General features: G+C 37.9%; 1 protein-coding gene and 1 long non-coding RNA gene across 5 annotated transcripts in view, besides 2 other annotated features; one reads left to right on the forward strand and one right to left on the reverse strand.

Annotated features, from left to right (window-relative positions):
* The window catches only part of PKIB (cAMP-dependent protein kinase inhibitor beta), a 254,453-nt gene that overhangs the window by 86,393 nt on the left and 149,322 nt on the right, over window positions 1-18,738 (forward strand). The window lies entirely within an intron of this gene.
* On the reverse strand, window positions 3,859-10,266 carry LOC124901391 (uncharacterized). The gene is made up of 3 exons (XR_007059732.1): window positions 10,178-10,266; window positions 9,053-9,189; window positions 3,859-6,071 (listed from the first exon to the last, which is right to left on the reverse strand). It is a non-coding gene; the product is annotated as an uncharacterized LOC124901391 (long non-coding RNA).
* Window positions 4,942-5,479: an enhancer, noted in NCBI's record as "H3K27ac-H3K4me1 hESC enhancer chr6:122884400-122884937 (GRCh37/hg19 assembly coordinates)". NCBI's record gives its function as "activates a minimal SCP1, AML or CMV promoter by ChIP-STARR-seq in naive H9 embryonic stem cells {active_cell/tissue: H9 hESC(naive)}" and the evidence as "EXISTENCE:reporter gene assay evidence [ECO:0000049][PMID:30033119]".
* Window positions 5,480-6,016: an enhancer, noted in NCBI's record as "H3K27ac-H3K4me1 hESC enhancer chr6:122884938-122885474 (GRCh37/hg19 assembly coordinates)". NCBI's record gives its function as "activates a minimal SCP1, AML or CMV promoter by ChIP-STARR-seq in naive H9 embryonic stem cells {active_cell/tissue: H9 hESC(naive)}" and the evidence as "EXISTENCE:reporter gene assay evidence [ECO:0000049][PMID:30033119]".

The raw sequence follows: 18,738 nt of genomic DNA on the forward strand, positions 1-18,738 counted from the left end.
TAATGCCAGTGGATTAAGAATATTCTTTCCTCAATAGGTTTAGCAAGTTTTCAAGCTGATTTGGTTCATGTACCTTGAGTCATATGTTCACCTCTTAAGCAGCAATTGTGGATTCTACTAGTGAAAGGTACAGTCAGACTAGTCCCCAAGAACTATGGCAGCCCATCCAAACCTCACATGTTGGAAATAGAGAAGTCTATAAGAAAAAATGGGCTTCCATTGTCAAGATGTTTGATAAGTAAAATCTACATATCTCCATTATATCATCCTTAGTTGTCCAGTAAATACATAAACTTTCTTTTAATTCATGTATCTTCAACATTTCTTTTAGTACATACATTGCTTCTATGTAATATAATAAAACTCCTTCATACACAAGAAAAAGCCACAGTCACCTCCTCTCTATTTTTTTAAATTTTATTTTTTAATCAATTGATTAATATATATTTTTTCCATAAGTTATTGGGTACAGGTGGTATTTGGTTACATGAGTAAGTTCTTTAGCGGTGATTTGTGAGATTTTGGTGCACCCATCACCGGAGCAGTATACATTGCACCATATTTGTAGTCTTTTATCCCTTGCTTCCCTCCCACTTTTTCCCACAAGTCCCCAAAGTCCATTGTATCATTCTTACGCCTTTGCGCCCTCACAGCTTAGCTCCCACATATCAGTGAGAACATATGATGTTTATTTTTCCATTCCTGAGTTACTTCACTTAGAATAATAGTCTCCAAACTCATCCAGGTCACTGCAAATGCTGTTAATTCATTCCTTTTTATGGCTGCATAGTATTCCATCATATATATATGACAAAGGACTGATATCCAGAATCAACAACGAACTCAAACAAATCAGTAAGAAAAAAACAAACAGTCCCCAAAAAGTGGGCTAAGGACATGAATAGACAATTCTCAAAAGAAGATATACAAATGGCCAACAAATATATACATAAAATAGATACATAATTATATATATAATATATATATATGCCACTTTCCCCACTTTATGTTTTTGTCTGCTTTGTCAAAGAACAGTTGGCTGTATTTGGTTTATTTCTGGCTTCTGTATTCTGTTCCATTGGTCTGTGTGCCTATTTCTATCCCAGTATCATGCTGTTTTGGTGACTATGGCCTTATAGTATAGTTTGAAATCAGGTAGTGTGATGCCTTCAGATTTGGTCTTTTTGCTTAGTCTTGCTTTGGTTGTGTGGGCTCTTTTTTGTTCCCTATGAATTTTAGAATTGTTTTTTTTCTAATTCTGTGAAGAATGATGGTGGTATTTTGATGGGGATTGCATTGAATTTGTAGATTGCTTTTGGTACTATGGTCATTTTCACAATATTGATTCTACCCATCCATGAGCATGAGATGTGTTTCCATTTGTTTGTGTCATCTATGATTTCTTTCAACAGAGTTTTGTAGTTTTCCTTGTAGAGGTCTTTGACTCCTTGGTTAGGTATATTCCTAAGAATTTTATTTTTTGGCAGCTATTGTAAAAGGGGTTGAGTTCTTGATTTGATTCTCCATTTGGTTGCTGTTCATGTACAGAAGAGCTACTAATTTGTGTACATTAATCTTGTATCCGGAAACTTTGCTGAATTCTTTTATCAGTTCTAGGAGCTTTCTGGAGGAATCCTTAGGGTTTTCAAGGTAAACAATCATATCATCAGCAAACAGTGACAGTTTGACTTTCTCATTACTGAATCAGATGCCCTTTATTTCTTTCTCTTGTTTGATTGCTCTGGCTAGGACTTCCAGTACTATGTTGAAGAGGAGTGGCGAGACTGGGCATCCTTGTCTTGTTCCAGTTCTCAGAGAGAATGCTTTCAATTTTTCCCCATTCAGTATTATGTTGGCTGTGGGTTTGTCGTAGATGGCTTTTATTACACTAAGGTATGTCCCTTGTATGCTGATTTTGCTGAGAATTTCAGTCACAAGAGATGTTGGATTTTGTTGAATGCTTTTTTTTTTGCATCTATTGAGATGATCATGTGATTTTTGTTTTTAATTCTGTTTATGTGGTATATCACACTTATTGACTTGCATATGCTAAACCATCCCTGCATCCCTGGCATGAAACCCACTTGATCATGGTGGATTATCTTTTTGATATGTTGTTGGTTAGCTAATATTTTGTTAAGGATTTTAGCATCAGTGTTCATCAAAGATATCAGTCTGTAGTTTTCTTTTTTGGTTATGTCCTTTCCTGATTTTGGTATTAGGGTGATGCTGGCTTCATGAAATGAATTAGGGAGGGTTCCTTCTTTCTCTATCTTGTGGAATAGTGTCAAAAGGATTGATACCAATTCTTCTCTGAATGTTTGGTAGAATTCTGCTGTGAATCCATCTGGTCCTGCACTTTTTTTTGTTGGTGGTAATTTTTAAATTACCATTTTAATCTCGCTGCTTGTTATTGGTCTGTTCAGGGTATCTAATTCGTCCTGATTTAAGTTAAGAGGGTTGTATTTTTCCAGGAATTTATTTATCTCTTCTAAGTTTTCTAGTTTATGTTCATAAAGGTGTTCATAGTAGCCTTCAATAATCTTTTGTATTTCAGTGGTGTCAGTTGTAATGTCTTCTGTTTGATTTCTCAGTGAGGTTATTTGGATTTTCTCTCTCTTTTTCTTGGTTAGTCTTGCTAATGGTCTATCAATTTTATTTATCTTTTCAAAGAACCAGCTTTTTGTTTCATTTATCTTTTTTATTTTTATTTTTTCTATTTCATTTAGTTCTGCTCTGATCTTGGTAATTTCCTTTCTTCTGCTGGGCCTGGGTTTAGTTTGTTCTTGTTTCTCTAGTTCCTTGAGGTATGACCTTAGAATGTCAGTTTGTGCACTTTCAGTCTTTTTGATGTAGGCGCTTAGGGCTATGTACTTTCCTCTTAGCACTGCCTTTGCTGTATCCCAGAGGTTTTGATAGGTCGTGTCATTATTGCCGTTCAGTTTGAAGAATTTTTAAATTTCCATCTTGATTTCGTTTTTGACCCAATGCTCATTCAGGAGCAGGTTATTTAATTTCCATGTATTTGCATGGTTCTGAAGGTTCCTTTTGGAGTTGATTTTCAGTTTTATTCCACTGTGGTCTGAGAGAGTGCTTGATATAATTTTAATTTTATTAAATTTTTAAAATTTATTGAGGCTCATTTTTGGCCTATCATATGATCTATCTTGGAGAAAGTTCCATGTGCAATTGAGTAGAATGTGTATTCTGAGGTTGTGTTGCTGTCTATCTCATTTCTTAGGTCTATTAGTAATTTTTTTTTTTTATAAATTTGGGAGCTCCAGTGTATGGTGCATATATGTTTAGGATTGTAATATTTTCCTGTTGGGCAAGGCCTTTTACCTTTATATATTGTCCGTCTTTGACTCTTTTAACTGCTGTTGCTTTAAAGTTTGTTTTGTCTGATATAAGAAGAGCTACCCCTGCTCGCTTTTGGTGTCCATTTGCATGAAATGCCTTTTTCCACCCCTTTACTTTAAGTTCATGTGAGTCCTTAAGTATTAGGTGAGCCTCCTGAAGTCAGCAGGTAGTTGGTTGGTGAGTTCTTACCCATTCCATGGTTCTATATCTTTTAAATGGAGATTTTGGCCAATTACATTCAATGTTAGTATTGAAATGTGAGGTACCCTTGCGTTCATCATGCTCTTTGTTGCCTGCATAGTTTTTTTTTGTTTGTTTTTGTTTTTTTTTGTTTTTTTTTTTTTTTGCTTTTTAACTTGTATTTTTGCTGTATAGTTTCTGTGTGATTTATGCTTTAAAGAGGTTCTGTTTTGATGTGTTCCCAGGATTAGTTTCAAGATTTAGAGCTCTTTTAGCAGTTCTTGTCGTGGTGGCTTGGTAACAGCAAATTCTCTCAGCATTCGTTTGTCTGAAAACGACTGTATCTTTCCTTCATATATGAAGCTTAGTTTTGCTGGATACAAAATTCTTGGCTGATAATTGTTTTGTTTGAGGAGGCTGAAGATAGGGCCCCAATCCCTTCTAGCTTGGAGGGTTTCTGCTGAGAAATCTGCTGTTAATCTGATAGGTTTTCCTTTATAGGTTGCTTGGTGCTTCGTCTCACAGCTGTTAAGATTTTTTCCTTCGTCTTAACTTTGGATAATCTGATGACAAAGTGCCTATGCAAAGATCTTTTTGTGATGAATTTTCCAGGTGTTCCTTGTGCTTTTCGTATTTGGATGTCTAGGTCTCTAGCAAGGCTGGAGAAGTCTTCCTCAATTATTCCCCCAAATATGTTTTCCAAGCTTTTGGAATTCTCTTCTTCCACAGGAATGCCAATTATCCTTAAGTTTGGTCATTTAACGTAATCCCAGACTTCTTGGAGACTTTGTTCATATTTTCTTATTCTTTTTTCTTTGTCTTTATTGGATTGGGTTAATTAGAAGGCTTTGTCTTCAAGCTCTGAATTTCTTTATTCAACTTGTTCAATTCTATTGCTGAGACTTTCTAGAGCATTTCACATTTCTAAAAGTGTGTCCAAAGTTTTCTGAATTTTTGATTGTTTTTTTCCTTAAGCTATCTATTTCTTTGAATATTTCTCCCTTCACTTCTGGTATCATTTTTTTTTTTATTTCCTTGCATTGGGCTTCACCTTTCTCTGGTCCTTCCCTGATTAGCTTAATAACTAACCTCCTGGATTCTTTTTCAGGTAAATCAAGGATTTCTTCTTGGTTTGGATCCATTGCTGGTGCACTACTGTGATTTTTCACGGGTGTTGAAGAGCTTTTTTTTGTCATATTACCAGGGTTGGTTTTCTGGTTCCTTCTCATTTAGGTAGGCTCTGTCACAGGGAAGGTCTAGGGCTGAAGGCTGTTGTTCAGATTCTTTTGTCCCATGGGGTGTTCCCTTGATGTAGTACTCTCATCCTTTTCCTGTGGATGTGGCTTCCTGTGAGTCAAACTGCAGTGATTGTTGTCCCTCTTCTGGGTCTAGCCACCCAGTAAGTCTACCTGGCTCTGGGCTAGTACTGGGGGTTGTCTGCACATAGTCCTGTGATGTGAACTGCCCTTGGGTCTCTCAGCTGTGTGTCTCAGTGCCTGTTCTGGTGGAGGTGGCAGGGGGTGCAATGGACTCCATGAGAGTTCTTAGCTTTAGTGGTTTAATGCTCTATTTTTGTGCTGGTTGGCCTACTGTCAGGTGGTGGCGCTTTCCAGAAAGCATCAGCTGTAGGAGTATAGAGAGGGACTGGTGGTGGGTGGGGCCCTAGATCTCCCAAGATTAATACCCTTTGTCTTCTGCTACCAGGGAGGGTAGGGAAGGAACATCAGGCGGGGGCAGGACTAGGCATGTCTGAGCTCAGGCTCTCCTTGGGTGGGTCTTGCTGCGGCTGCTGTAGGGGATAGGAGTGAGATTCCCAGGTCACTGGAGTTGTGTACCTAGGAAGATTATGCCTGCCTCTGCTGAGCCATGCAGGTTGTCAGGGAAGTGGGGGAAAGCCAGCAGTCACAGGCCTCACCCAGCTCCCATGCAAACCGAAGGGTCAGTCTCACTCCCACTGTTCCCCGCGACAACAGCCCCAAGTCTGTTTCCAGGCAGAGGGGAAGACAGGCTTGAAATCTCCCGCCTCCCAGCTGTGAGAGAAGAAGGCTTGGTTCTTCCCCTGCTGGTGGAGTCTGCACACCAGATTTGCACACCTTCCCCCAAGTTCTGGCAAGGAGGCTTCTCATCGGGTTCATATTATTACAAAGTTCTGCTAGGGATTTCTTTCTCCCTATGTAGTTTTACCCTCACTTGGCTCTCTAAATTGGCTCAGCTCCAGGTAAGGTCGGAAACTTCTCCCGCAAACAGACCTTCAACTTTTCCAGTGGATATGTGTGTTCGGGAGAGGAAGGTTTCCCTTTCCCACTTCTGCAGTTGGGGCACTCACAGTTTTTGGGGTATCTCCAGGGTCCTGCAGGAGCAGTCCACTTCCTTTAGAGGATCTGTGGGTCCTCTCGGGATTGCTGGTTTGTTCTTGCACTTGATCTGGAGCTAAAATTCACAATGCAAGCTTCTGCAAGCTGTTCTGTCCGGAGCTGCACTCTAGTCCTGCCTCCCATCTGTCATGATGATCCTAGAATTCCATCTCCTCTCTAAAAAGTACAAAGCACACACATTTACTCTATGTACCTCTAGTAAGAGCTTTGCTTTGTGTTTGTCTGTCAGTCTTAAAGGTAGCTTCTCATGCTTGAGCAGTCTATGACTAAGTGGTTTATTTGTTTAACCACCTACAATATAACATAATAGATAAAATAAAGTAAATAAAATATAAAATTTAATAAAATTTTCACACAAATGAGAAAAGCGGGAAATTAATAAACAGTGGTTTTACTCATCAGAGTTTGCAAATTCTTTCTGCATGGAAGGGTAGTGAGCTCCTTGGTCAGCCAATCTGCATCATGGAGGATTTTATTTAACAGTTTCATATTCTTAAGTAAATTACTTGACATTTGCTATTGACATTGGGAAGGACCCTTTTTTGGTGGCTGCTGTAGGTTAGGGACCTACTTCCCATTGGTGAAATTTTGGTGGTGTAGGAAACGCTTAGGAATTGGGTATTTCCAAGCATTTGCCGCCAGTGTTAGGGTTTCTCTGGAAGAAAAAATTTCTTACAGCCTTGGGAGGTATGCAGCTAATCTGTATTTAGTTAATGATATAGACTAGTTACTGGAAACTGAGACCATGTTGAGCATAGTCTCAAGAGAAGTGTGAGTTTGTGATTTCTGTTTCTTAGTATTAGACCTCAATGGCTTACCCATATTTTAACTTTTAGCTTAATGGTTTGTAAGTGGCACCGAATAATTAGTTGGGATTGGAAGTGATAACTAATTCTCCTCATATCTCTAGGTAGCAGGACAGGGAATTTTTTTACTGCCTTTTAAATAAGATAATTAAATTGGAGTTACTGTCATTTTTACCTACAATATCATAGCTAACACCTTCTTCTGGCAGAAAATACCACTCAAAGTTCTTGGGAAGGTCCTGGAGATCATATCATAGCTTCCCCTAGATTCTATTCTTATTTTCAATGTTCTTGTCAGCCTCTCTGAGTTTCCTTTGCACTAACTTTTTCTTGGGGTAAAGATTTTGCCTTTTTTGATTTTCAAAGCTCATGGTTATTTGAATCTCAGCTGTCTCAGATTGTTAGATGCAGATATAAATCAAGGTTGTATTTTCTTTTGTCTTTGCTTTTAAACAGGTAAGCTTGAGAGAACTGGCTAAGATATTCCAGTATCCTGACATTTTTCTACCAAGTTCCTTAAAGTTATAGTCTCAGTAGACACATGAGTCTAAGAGTATGACAGGTAACAGTTTAACCAGTTTAACTGTCTACTTTTCTACTGTATAGCATGGATGGACTACCCTATAGCTACTGTAAAAAACACTAACTTCCCTGTTGTCCACCTCAACTTGGCCAATTCAACTTTTTAAGATTTTCCAGTAACAACAACTGTCTTCCATATTAGCCAAGATATTTTTAGGTGAAAGTGACAGCAACCCAATTTTAATTTAAAGAAAAAGGTATGAATTGGTTCACAAATCTGAAAAGGCCAAGGGTAGCCTGAGGCATGGCCAGATCTGAATTTGTGAGTGCTTTAATGACATCATCACAAATCTGTCTCTTACCACTTTTACCTCTGTTTTCCTTTGACTTTTCTTCACTCTTAGGCAACATCTTTTATGAGCTGACAAACTGTGGCTATAAGTGACTTCAGGCTTTTCATCTTCTAACAGTTTACTACCCCCAATGGAAGAAGCTATCTTTTTTTTTTCAAGTACTGAGCTGACTTTGATTTGCCTAACTTGGGTCACATGCCCAATCCTGTGCTAATCATTGGGTGTTGGACTTTTAGTAGACAGGCTTGGGTCACCCTTGAAGATGAGGGATGAGGAAAAGAAATAAAAAAAGAAGTTCACTTATTATAAAAGGGGTATTGAAGAAGCAAACACAACCAGTGTTCATCACTGTCATGAGGAACACTGGGCCAGGAGTCAGAAGAAATATAGTCTGACCACAGTTCCATTACTTTCTAGCCATTTGGCCCTTTCTGAGCCTAGTTTTGTTATCTGTAAAATAAGGACATTAATACTGAACTCAATTATTTCACAAGATTTTTTTAATAACAGGTGAGGTTTTATATATAGCCTCAAAACTCATATGTAGATAACAGATATTATTAAAATATTTTTGAATGATCTTTATACTAATGCTTATGTTCCTTTAAAATACATTATTTTTATACTAAAAATATTATAACCAAAAATAATAAAATAATATAGGCCTACTCCCAGAAAATTGTATTACCATTTTGAAATAATTCCTCCCTTCCTCCCTTCCTCCCTCCCTCCCTTCCTTCCTGCCTTCCTTCCTTCCTTCCTTCTCTTTATCCCCCTGCACAAACATCTTCTCATATAGCAATATAATATTCATAATTCTCAACTTTAATAGCAAAACTTCATCCAGCAGGCATACATAACTTTCCTAACCATTCTTATGTGGTTGGATATTTAGAATATTTATTATTTTTAACATTATAAATAACACTTCAATGAGTGTACACATAATTGTTTTCATGGACTTTCCCTTAGTAGGAACATTTCTTTTTTTAAACTGGGGACAAGGTCTCACTTTGTCACCCAGGCTGCAGTGCAATTGCAAGATCCTAGCTCACTGCAGCCTTGAACTCCTGGCTCGATATACAGTGTCAAATGTCTTCCCAAAATAATTGTGGCAATTTACAATGTCCTCAGAAATATATAGAGGTAAAAATTTCAATAGGCTGTCACCAGCTGTGGTAGATGCTGCCCTTGGCCTGCTCATATTTCTCAGACTATACCATTCTAGTCTACTCAGGTGACTTCCAATTGCTGATGCCTGTTATCTCTATGCTTGGAGTTTTTCTGAGATGCAGAAGGCATTTCTCTCCGAGTGTGTGCTGCAAGTCAGAAATGCTAGGAAATTAACATGCCTTGGGAGCAGTCCTCAAATAGTGGCTGATGAGAGTTGGTGAAAAGATACCCTTTGAAGTGTGTGCTTTATACTGATCCACAGAATTAAGCTCTATTCACTCACAGTGGTAGCTGGTTTCATAATGCACTCTTGATTGGCTGTTTTCTGTTCCTTGTTTCTATTCCCCAGTCCTTTGCCATGGTTCCCTGTATTGTGCAGATAAACTATCTATACTTGAAGCTTCATCTCAGAGTCAGCTTCTGGAGCAACCCAAAATAAAACACCAGCATTAGTTATCTTCACTCAATTTTTAAATTAGCTAATTTAATAGAAAATGAGTTATCAATTATTTGTAGCAACATAGATAAATCTGAAATACTATTAAATGAAAAAAGCAACCTTCAACGAATTTATAAGTAGAGTAGTATTCATAAAAGAACTCTTATAAAACAACATAGGCAAAATAATGTATACATGCAAAGCAATGAGATACATGCAAAAATTTTCATAAGTGTAAAGTGATATAAAATATGTAACAAAACACACCAATTGAGCATGCTTGAAAATAATAAAGCGAAATTCAGAATTACAATAACCTCTAGAGAGAAGGAGGTTACTGTAGTTAGGAATGTCATTGGGAGGGTTATATAAGGAGGCTTCAAGTGTATTAGTAATGTTTTACTGTTTAAAGTTGCATTACAGTTCTGTATAGCTATATCACTCTATGTCCTTTTTTTGTGTGCCTGAAATATGCTATTATTAACATTATTAATTAAAATATAGACAGAATTAATTATAAAAGTTGTACATTTTCATACGTCAAAAAACGAATGACTCTTTTTCTTCTTTATGTTTTTGGTATTTTCCAAGTCTTTTATCACAAACAACATTGCATTTATAATAAAAAAAAAAGTTTCAAAGGTAATATGATGAAAAGAAGCAAATTTAATTTAAAGTAAAAAAATTACTGACAATGTTTACTTGTTTAAAAAGATACATTCTGGACAGAATAGTGTGTAGAGATTCACACCATAAATTTTTTTCCAAGAACCAGTGCAGGAATTTACCATAAAATCTGAAAGAATCCACAGAGCCTTTGAAATAAGTGACAGGCTGAAGCCTACTCCATGAGACAGGTGAAAAACTGTTAAGTCCCCAGAGTGTGATAGAGGAGAGTCTGCCTCCAGAGGACATATCCCCACCAGGAAATCTGAAAATCCAGGTCTTGGGAGAAGACCTTAACCTTACCCAGAGCTGGAACAAATTGAGGGAGTGGTGTGCAATATAAAAGTAGAAGCAGTAGCAGGAAGTGCCTTGCAAGCAATCCCAGTCTTCAGTGTGAACCCAAGAAAGCCATTACTGACTATATCTCACAGGGGCCCTCAAAGAAGTCAGCCAGTGAGCTCAGGAAGTGGGTTGCAGGTGAAAGAAGCTCCCCACTGAATTTTGTAATATAATCTTGAGTAGGAACAAACTCCCTTGACCAGAACCCAGGGTTGGAAGTGGGGAGCACAAATGGGAATTGCACTGCAGACATGAGCACAGGAGCTGGGTGCCCAGCCTTGTAGAGAGACAGGGATAGGTGTGGCCAGAAAGTGGAGGTTGCTATCTCTGTGGAAAGCTTATGGCCTCGGGCAGGTCTGAGTTCTGTGTGCAGACTGCCTGGATCTTAACCCAGTGCTGTTAGTGGAGCACTGTGGGAGTGAGATTGGCCTCACCAACTGCATGGGAGCTGGGTGAGGCTTACTGCTGCCTGATACTCTCCACTCCCTTTGCAAACTCTTCTGTGCACCAAAGGCAGTTATACTCCCCTCTGGAACTTTATCCCAGTAGCCTGAAACCCTCTCCTTGACCCTCATAGGGCCTGTGGCTAGCCCCACCCAAGGAGAGTCAGAGCACAGACCCGCCTAACCCTATCCCCAACTGGCTGTGCCCCTCCACCCACGCTGATAGCTTAACACAAAGAACATAAACTTTAAGGAGCTTTATAGCTCCACCTATTGCCTGAGAAACCAGAATACTTCCCCTGGGTAACTTAGGGCAAACTCAAATCCTGCTGCTACTACCACAGCTGGTGCTCTTTTAAAGTGCCATCTCTTGGCTGGAGGCCAACCAAAACAGTCCATTACAGCACCTCTAGGTAGAATAATACTGTGTCCAGAATGGAGAAAACGGCTGCATGACCTCAGCTGTACTCATCACCACTGCGTACAACACCCTGGCTAACCAAAGGTTCTAAGTGGGTCCACGTGACAAGTTCACAATAATTATGACCAGCACTTGAGAAAGCCAGCACACTAAGCCTATCAACCAAGGAATCTCACAGAGTCTACGTCACTCCTCTACCACCTTCGTCAGAAATGGTGCTGGTATCCACTGCTGGGAGACTTGAAGACAGGTCACATCACTGAATCCCTTGCAGACATTCCTCAGCACCAGTCTGGAGTCTGGTAACTCCACTCGGTGGCTATACCCAGAAGAGCAATAACAGTTACTGTAGTCTGGCTCTCAGGAATTCCCATTCTTAGGGGAAGGGAGAGAGAACCACATCAAGGGAACACCCCGTGGAACAAAAGAATCTGAACAGCAGTTCTTGAGTCCCAGATCTTTCCACTAATGGGAAGTTTCTTACAGCAGAGACACAATTACAGTGCTGCTCTGAACCTCTATCCCAACAGGGAGGCAACCTCTCTGATCATTAAGGGTCTTGGAGACGGTGTCCTTATTCCCATGAGTACACCACTGAAGACACAGCTGGGGCTTCTCCCACAGGAATGCAACATGGATGCACCTACAGACAGCTTTCCTAGAACAAGTCAGGGTGATTGCATCCCCACAGGAAGAGCACTTTCCAGGTCAGGCTTTCATGAGAGGCAGAGTCACAACTCCTCTTTACTTAGAATATCAACATTCTTACAGATGAAAAGAGGAGCCTGTCTAACCTGAATAGCCAGAACACTGGGATAGAAATGAAGCTGGGAAGTAGATGCCTTCCCTGCTGGCCTGGCAGGGTAGCTGAGGTGCTCCCACCTTTCAACCTGATAAAACCTCTGTACATCTAATTGAGGGCTTCCCAGCCACCTTCAACAAGGCTGGGACGTCTGCCCACCATTGGGTATTACATCTACCCACCTGCTTTAGCTACAACCAGTGCCTACCCAGGGATAACTCCCCTACTAACCTGAAGCCTGGATCATCAAATCAGTAAATAAAACACTGGAGAAAAATTAAGTAAATAAAAAAGCATACACCATGGGAGAATGAGATAAGCTTCAAAAATCCTTGCCATTCCAACCCCATATGAGACAGTGAACTTGCCCACACACCATGAACATAACTACTACAACAAGCATCTGGAAAAGCCAGTGCACAAAGACCCTCTATAACTAAGGAAGTCATACAGAGTCTTTCCTGCTAAAAGCACCAAGAATTAAATTAGCCTGCAATAAACTATAAACGTTAAAGTCAGATTCCTAAGAGGGAAAAAAAGAAATTAAATAAAAACCACAGTCAAATAAAAATAAATTCAAGAAAATTTTGAAGAAAAGTCTATCCAAATGAAAAGGAACCAGAAAAGTAATTCTGGTAATATGACAAAAGAGAGTTCTGTAACACCCCCAAAAGATCAAACTAACTCCCCAAAAATTGCTTCAAACCAAGATGAAATCTTTGAAATACCAGACAAGTCAGAAGGTTGATTATTAAGCTACTCTAGGAAATAACCAGAGAAAGGTGAAAACCAACATAAAAAATGTTTTAAAATTCAGGATATGAATGAAAAAATTTTCAGAGAGATGGATATCATAAAAAAAAACAATCAGAACTTCTGGAAATAAAAGACATACTTAGAGAAATACAAAATTTAGTGAAAATTTCAATATTAGACAAGAACACGTAGAATAAATAATTTCAGAGCTTGAAGACAAGGCTTTTGAATTAACCCAATCAGACAAAGATAAAGAAAAAAGAAGCAAAAGAAATGAACCAAGTTTCCAAGAAATATGGGATTATGTAAAATGGCCAAACCTAAGAATAATTGATGTTCCTGAGGGGGAAGAGAAGTCTAAGAGTTTGGAGAACTTATTTTAAGGAATAATTGAGGAAAACTTCCCTTGCCTTGCTAGATATACAGATATCAAAATACAAGAAGCTTAGATTCCTGGGAAATTCCATTGCAAAAAGATTATCACCAAAGCACGTAGTCATTAAGCTATCTAAAGCCAACATGAAGAAAAGGATTTTGGTAGCTGTGAGACAAAAGCATCAGGTAACCTATAAAAGAAAAACTATCAGACTAACAGCAGATTTCTCAGCAGAAACCTTACAAGCCAGAAGGGATTGGGGTCCTATCTTTACCCTCCTTAAATTGTCAGCCAAGAATTTTGCATTCTGCAAAACTAAGCTTCATAAATGGAGAGATAAAGTATTTTTCAACAAATGCTGAGGAAATTTTCCACTACCAAACCAGCACTACAATAAATGCTAAATGGAGTTCCATATCTTGAAACAAAACCTTGATCTATATCAAAATGGAACCTCCTTAAAGCATAAATCTCACAGGGCCTATAAAACATTAACATAATGAAGAAAAACAAAGTATCTAGGTAAAAACTAATATGATGAATAGAACAGTACTTCACATCTTAATATTCAGGTTGAATGTAAATAGCCTAAATGCTTCACTTGAAAAGGTACAGAATAGCAGAATGGATTAAAAAACCGCTAACCAAATGTCTACTGTCTTCAAGAGGCCCATCTAACACAAAAGGACTCACATAAACTCATGGTTAAGGGGTGGAAGAAGGTATTCCACGCAAATGGAAACTGACACATAAACTCATGGTAAAGGGGTGGAAGAAGGTATTCCACTCAAATGGAAACTGAAAGCAAGCAGGAGTCACTATTCTTACATTAGACAAACCAGACTTTGAAACAATACAATAAAAAAAGACAAAGAAGGACATTATATAATAACAAAATGATTAGTTCAACAAGAAGATATTACAATCCTAAATTTATATGCACCTAACACAGGAGCTCCAAGATTTATAAAACAATTACTGCTAGATCTAAAAGCAACTCACCCTCCAAACTATACAAATACATGGAAATTAAATAATCTGCATTTGAATAATTTTGGGGTTAATAATGAAATTAAGATGGAAATTGAAAATTATTGGAAATGAATGATAAAGTGACACAACTTATCAAAACCTCCGGGATACAGCAAAAGTAGTACCAAAAGGAAAGCTAATAGTATTAAATGCCTACATCAAAAAGTCTGAAACAGCAAAAATAGACAACCTAATGTCACACCTCAAGGAAATAGAGAAACAATAACAAAGCAAATCCAAATGTAGCAGAAGGAAAAAAAAAACAAAGATCAGAGCAGAACTAAATGAAATTGAAACAAAAAAAAAAACGATAAATGAAACAAAAAGCTGGTTCTTTGAAAAGATAAACAAAATTGATAAACTATTAGTGAGATTAACCAAGAAAAGAAGAGAGAACATTCAAATAAGCTGAATTAGAAATGAAACTGGCAATATTACAACAGATACTACAGAAATAAAAAAATAACATTCAAGGCTAGTATGAACACCTTTATACACACAAACTAGAAAATCTAGAGGAAATGGATAACTTCCTGGAAACATGTAATTCTCCTAGATCAAATCAGGAAGAACTAGAAACCCTGAACAGACCAGTAACAAGCAGCAAGATTAAATCAGTAATGAAAAAATTGCCAACACAGAAAATTTCAGGACCAGATGGATTCATAGCTGAATTCAAAGAATATTCAAAGAAGAGTTGGCATCAATTCTACTGAAACTATTCGAAAAGATAAAGAGGGAATCCTCCCTAAGTTATTCTGAAGCCAGTATAACACTAATACCAAAACCAGGAAAGGACACAAGAGAAAAAGAAAACTGCAAACCAATATCTCTGATAAAAACAGATGCAAAATCCTCAACAAAATACTAGCTAACTGAATCCAAAAGCACATCCAAAAGATAATACATCATGATTGGCTGGGCGCAGTGGCTCATGCCTGTGATCTTATCACTTAAACCCAGAAGGTTAAAACCAGCCTGGACAACATGGCAAGACCCCATCTCTACAAAAAATACAAAAATTCGCTGGTAGTACACACATGTTCTCCCAGGTACTCGCGAGGCTGAGGTGGAAGGATCGCTTGAGCCCATGAAGCAGAGGTTGCAGTAAGCTGAGATTGTGCCACTGTCCTCCAGCCGAGGCAACAGAGTTAGACTCTGTCTCAAAAAAAAAAAAAAAAGAAAAAGAAAAAAAAAAGAAGAAAAAAGAGATAATACATCACGATCAAGTGGGTTTTATCTCAGGGATGCAGGGATGATTCAACATATGCAAGTCAATATATGTGATACATCACATAAACAGGATTAAAAACAAAAATAATTATCTCAATAGATGCAGAAAAAGCATTTGACAAAATGCAGCATCCCTTTGTGATAAAACCCTCAGCAAAAATAGGCATAGAAAGGATTTACCTCAAAGTAATAAAAGTAACATATGACAAATCAACAGCCAACATCATACTGAATGGGAAAAAGTTGAAAGGATTCCCCCTGAGAACTGGAACAAGACAAGGATGCACACTTTCACCACTTCTGTGCAACATAGTACTGGAAGTTTTAGCCAGAGCTATCAGACAAAAGAAATAAATAAAGGGCATCCAAACTGGAAAAGAAGAAGTCAAACTATCTCTGTTCACCCATGATATGATCATATACCTAGAAAACCCCAAAGACCCATCCAAAAAGCTCCTGCATTTGATAAACTCAGTAAAGTCTCAGGTTACAAAATTAATGTACACAAATCAGTAGCACTGCTATACACCAACAACAATTAGGCTGAGAATCAAATCAAGAACTCAATCCCTTTTGCAACAGCTGCAAAAATAAAAATAAGAACACAAAAATCTAGGAATATCCTTAACCAAGTAGGTGAAAGATCACCTACACTGCTGAAGGAAATCATAGATGACACAAACAAATGGAAACACATCTCCTGCTCATGGATGGGAAGAATCAGTGTTGTGAAAATATCCAAATTCACAAATAAATCTACAGATTCAATGCAATTCCCATCAAAATATCCATCATCGTTCCCCACAGAACTAGAAAAAACAATCCTAGAATTAATATGGAATCACAAAAGAGCCTATAGCCAAAGCAATACTAAGCAAAAAGAACAAATCTAGAAGCATCACATTACCCAACTTTAAATTATACTACAGGGCTATAATTAGCAAAACAACATGGCACTGGTATAAAAATAGGCATATAGACCAATGGAACTGCATAGAGAACCCAGAAGTAAAGCCAAATACTTACAGCTAACTAATCTTCGACAAAGCATACAAAAACATAAACTGTATATTCAATAAATGGTGATGGGAAAACTAGCAAGCCACATGTGGAAGAATGAAACTAGATCCTCATCTCTCACCTTCTACAAAAATCAACTCAAGATCAATCAAAGACTTAAATCTAAGACCTAAAATCATAACAATTCTGGAAGATAACATCAGAAAACTCTTCTGGACTTTGGCTTAGGCAAAGAATTCATTATTAATATCCCAAAAACAAATGCAACCAAGTGAAAAATAAATAAGTGTGACCTACTTAAACTAAAAAGCTTCTGCACAGCAAAAGAAATAATCAGTAGAGTAACAGACAACCCACAGAGTAGGAGAAAATATTTGCAAACTATGCATCTGACAAAGAACTAGTATCCAGAATCTACAAGGAACTCAAACAAATCAGCAATAATAATAATAATAAAACCTGTCAAAAAGTGGGCAAAGGACATGAGTAAACATTTTTCAAACGAAGATACACAAACAGCCAACAAACGTATGAAAAAATGCTCACCATTGCTAATCATCAGGGAAATGTAAATTAAAACCACAGTAAGATATTACCTTACTCTTGCAAGAATGGCCGTTTAAGTAAAAAGTCAAAAAACAATAGATGTTGGCATGGATGTGGTGAAAAGGAAACACTTTTATATTGCTGGTGGGAATGTAAATTAGTACAACCACGATGGAAAACAGTATGGAGATTCCTTAAATAACTAAAAGTAGAACTATCTTGCAGCAATATGTGGTAGATCCAGCAGTTCCACTACTGGGTATCTACTCAAAGGAAAGTAAGTCATTATATGAAAAAAAAAACATGCACACTCATGTTTAAAGCAGCACAATTTGCAATTGCAGAGATATTAAACCAACCTAAGCGCCCATTGACCAACGAGTGGATAAAGAAAATGTGATATATATACCCCATGGAATACTACTCAGCCATAAAAAAGGAATGAAATAATGACTTTTGCAGCAGCTTGGATAGAGTGAGAGGCCATTATTCTAAGTGAAGTAATGCTGGAATGGGAAACCAAATATTGTATGCTCTTACTTATAAGTGGGAGCTAAGCTACAACGATGCAAAGGCATAACAGTACTATAATGGACTTTGTGGACTCAGAGGGAATAGTTGTGGGGGTAAAAGGCTATATATTGGGTACAATGTGTACTGCTTGGGTGACAAGTGCACTAAAATCTCAGAATTTACCATTAAAGAACTTATCCGTGTAAGCAAAAACCACCTGTACCCCCAAAACTACTGAAATTTTAAAAAAGAAACTACTGATACAACAACATGAATGAATCTCAAAAGCATTACTGTAAGTGCAAGAAGCCAGACACACAACAGTACACACTACACAATGTCATTTATATGAAACTCTAGGAAAGACAAATCTAATCAATAATGATACAAGACCAGTTATTGCCTGGAACCAGGGACAGCAGTGAGGGAAGAAGTAAAAGAAACATTTTGAGATTATGGAAATGTCCTATAACTTGATGGTGATGATGATTACATGGTTCTTTTAATTTGTCAAAATACATTAAGCCTTACACTTAAAATATATATTTTGGCTGGGCGTGGTGGCTCAAGCCTGTAATCCCAGAACTTTGGGAGGCCGAGGCAGGCGGATCACGAGGTCAGGAGATCAAGACCATCCTGGCTAACATGGTGATGATGATTACATGGTTCTTTTAATTTGTCAAAATACATTAAGCCTTACACTTAAAATATATATTTTGGCTGGGCGCGGTGGCTCACGCCTGTAATCCCAGAACTTTGGGAGGCCAAGGCAGGCGGATCACGAGGTCAGGAGATCAAGACCATCCTGGCTAACATGGTGAAACCCCGTTTCTACTAAAAATTCAAAAAATTAGCCGGGCGTGGTGGCAGGCGCCTGTAGTCCCAGCTAATCGGGAGGCTGAGGCAGGAGAATGGCGTGAACCCGGGAGGAGGTGCTTGCAGTGAAGCCCAGATGGCGCCACTACACTCCAGCCTGAGCGACAGAGCGAGACTCCATCTCAAAAAAAAAAAAAAAAAAAAAATATATATATATATATATATATTTTCTTTTGTATAATTATACCTCAGTAAAGTTAATTTTAAAAAGAAAAAAGTAAAAGGAACTATTTAACATAGCACATCTTGATTTTGTTAGGCATATGTGTATTATCGCATGTGTTTTTAAATTAAGTATAACTTGCCTGGCTTTGTGTGTAATTAAACAAATTGAAAACTATCAGAAGGAGAGCAAATAAAGGAAATAAATATGACATTTTAACATGGTGGATCTAAAGAATTCCTAGACAGCCACCAGGTCTATCTCTAGCATTCATACATTTCTTCATATATTAATTCATTAAACATTGGAACACTTACCATGTGTCAGGGACTGCGCCATACATG

Source organism: Homo sapiens, chromosome 6 (genome assembly GCF_000001405.40).
Source record: "Homo sapiens chromosome 6, GRCh38.p14 Primary Assembly".
NCBI lineage: Eukaryota > Metazoa > Chordata > Mammalia > Primates > Hominidae > Homo > Homo sapiens.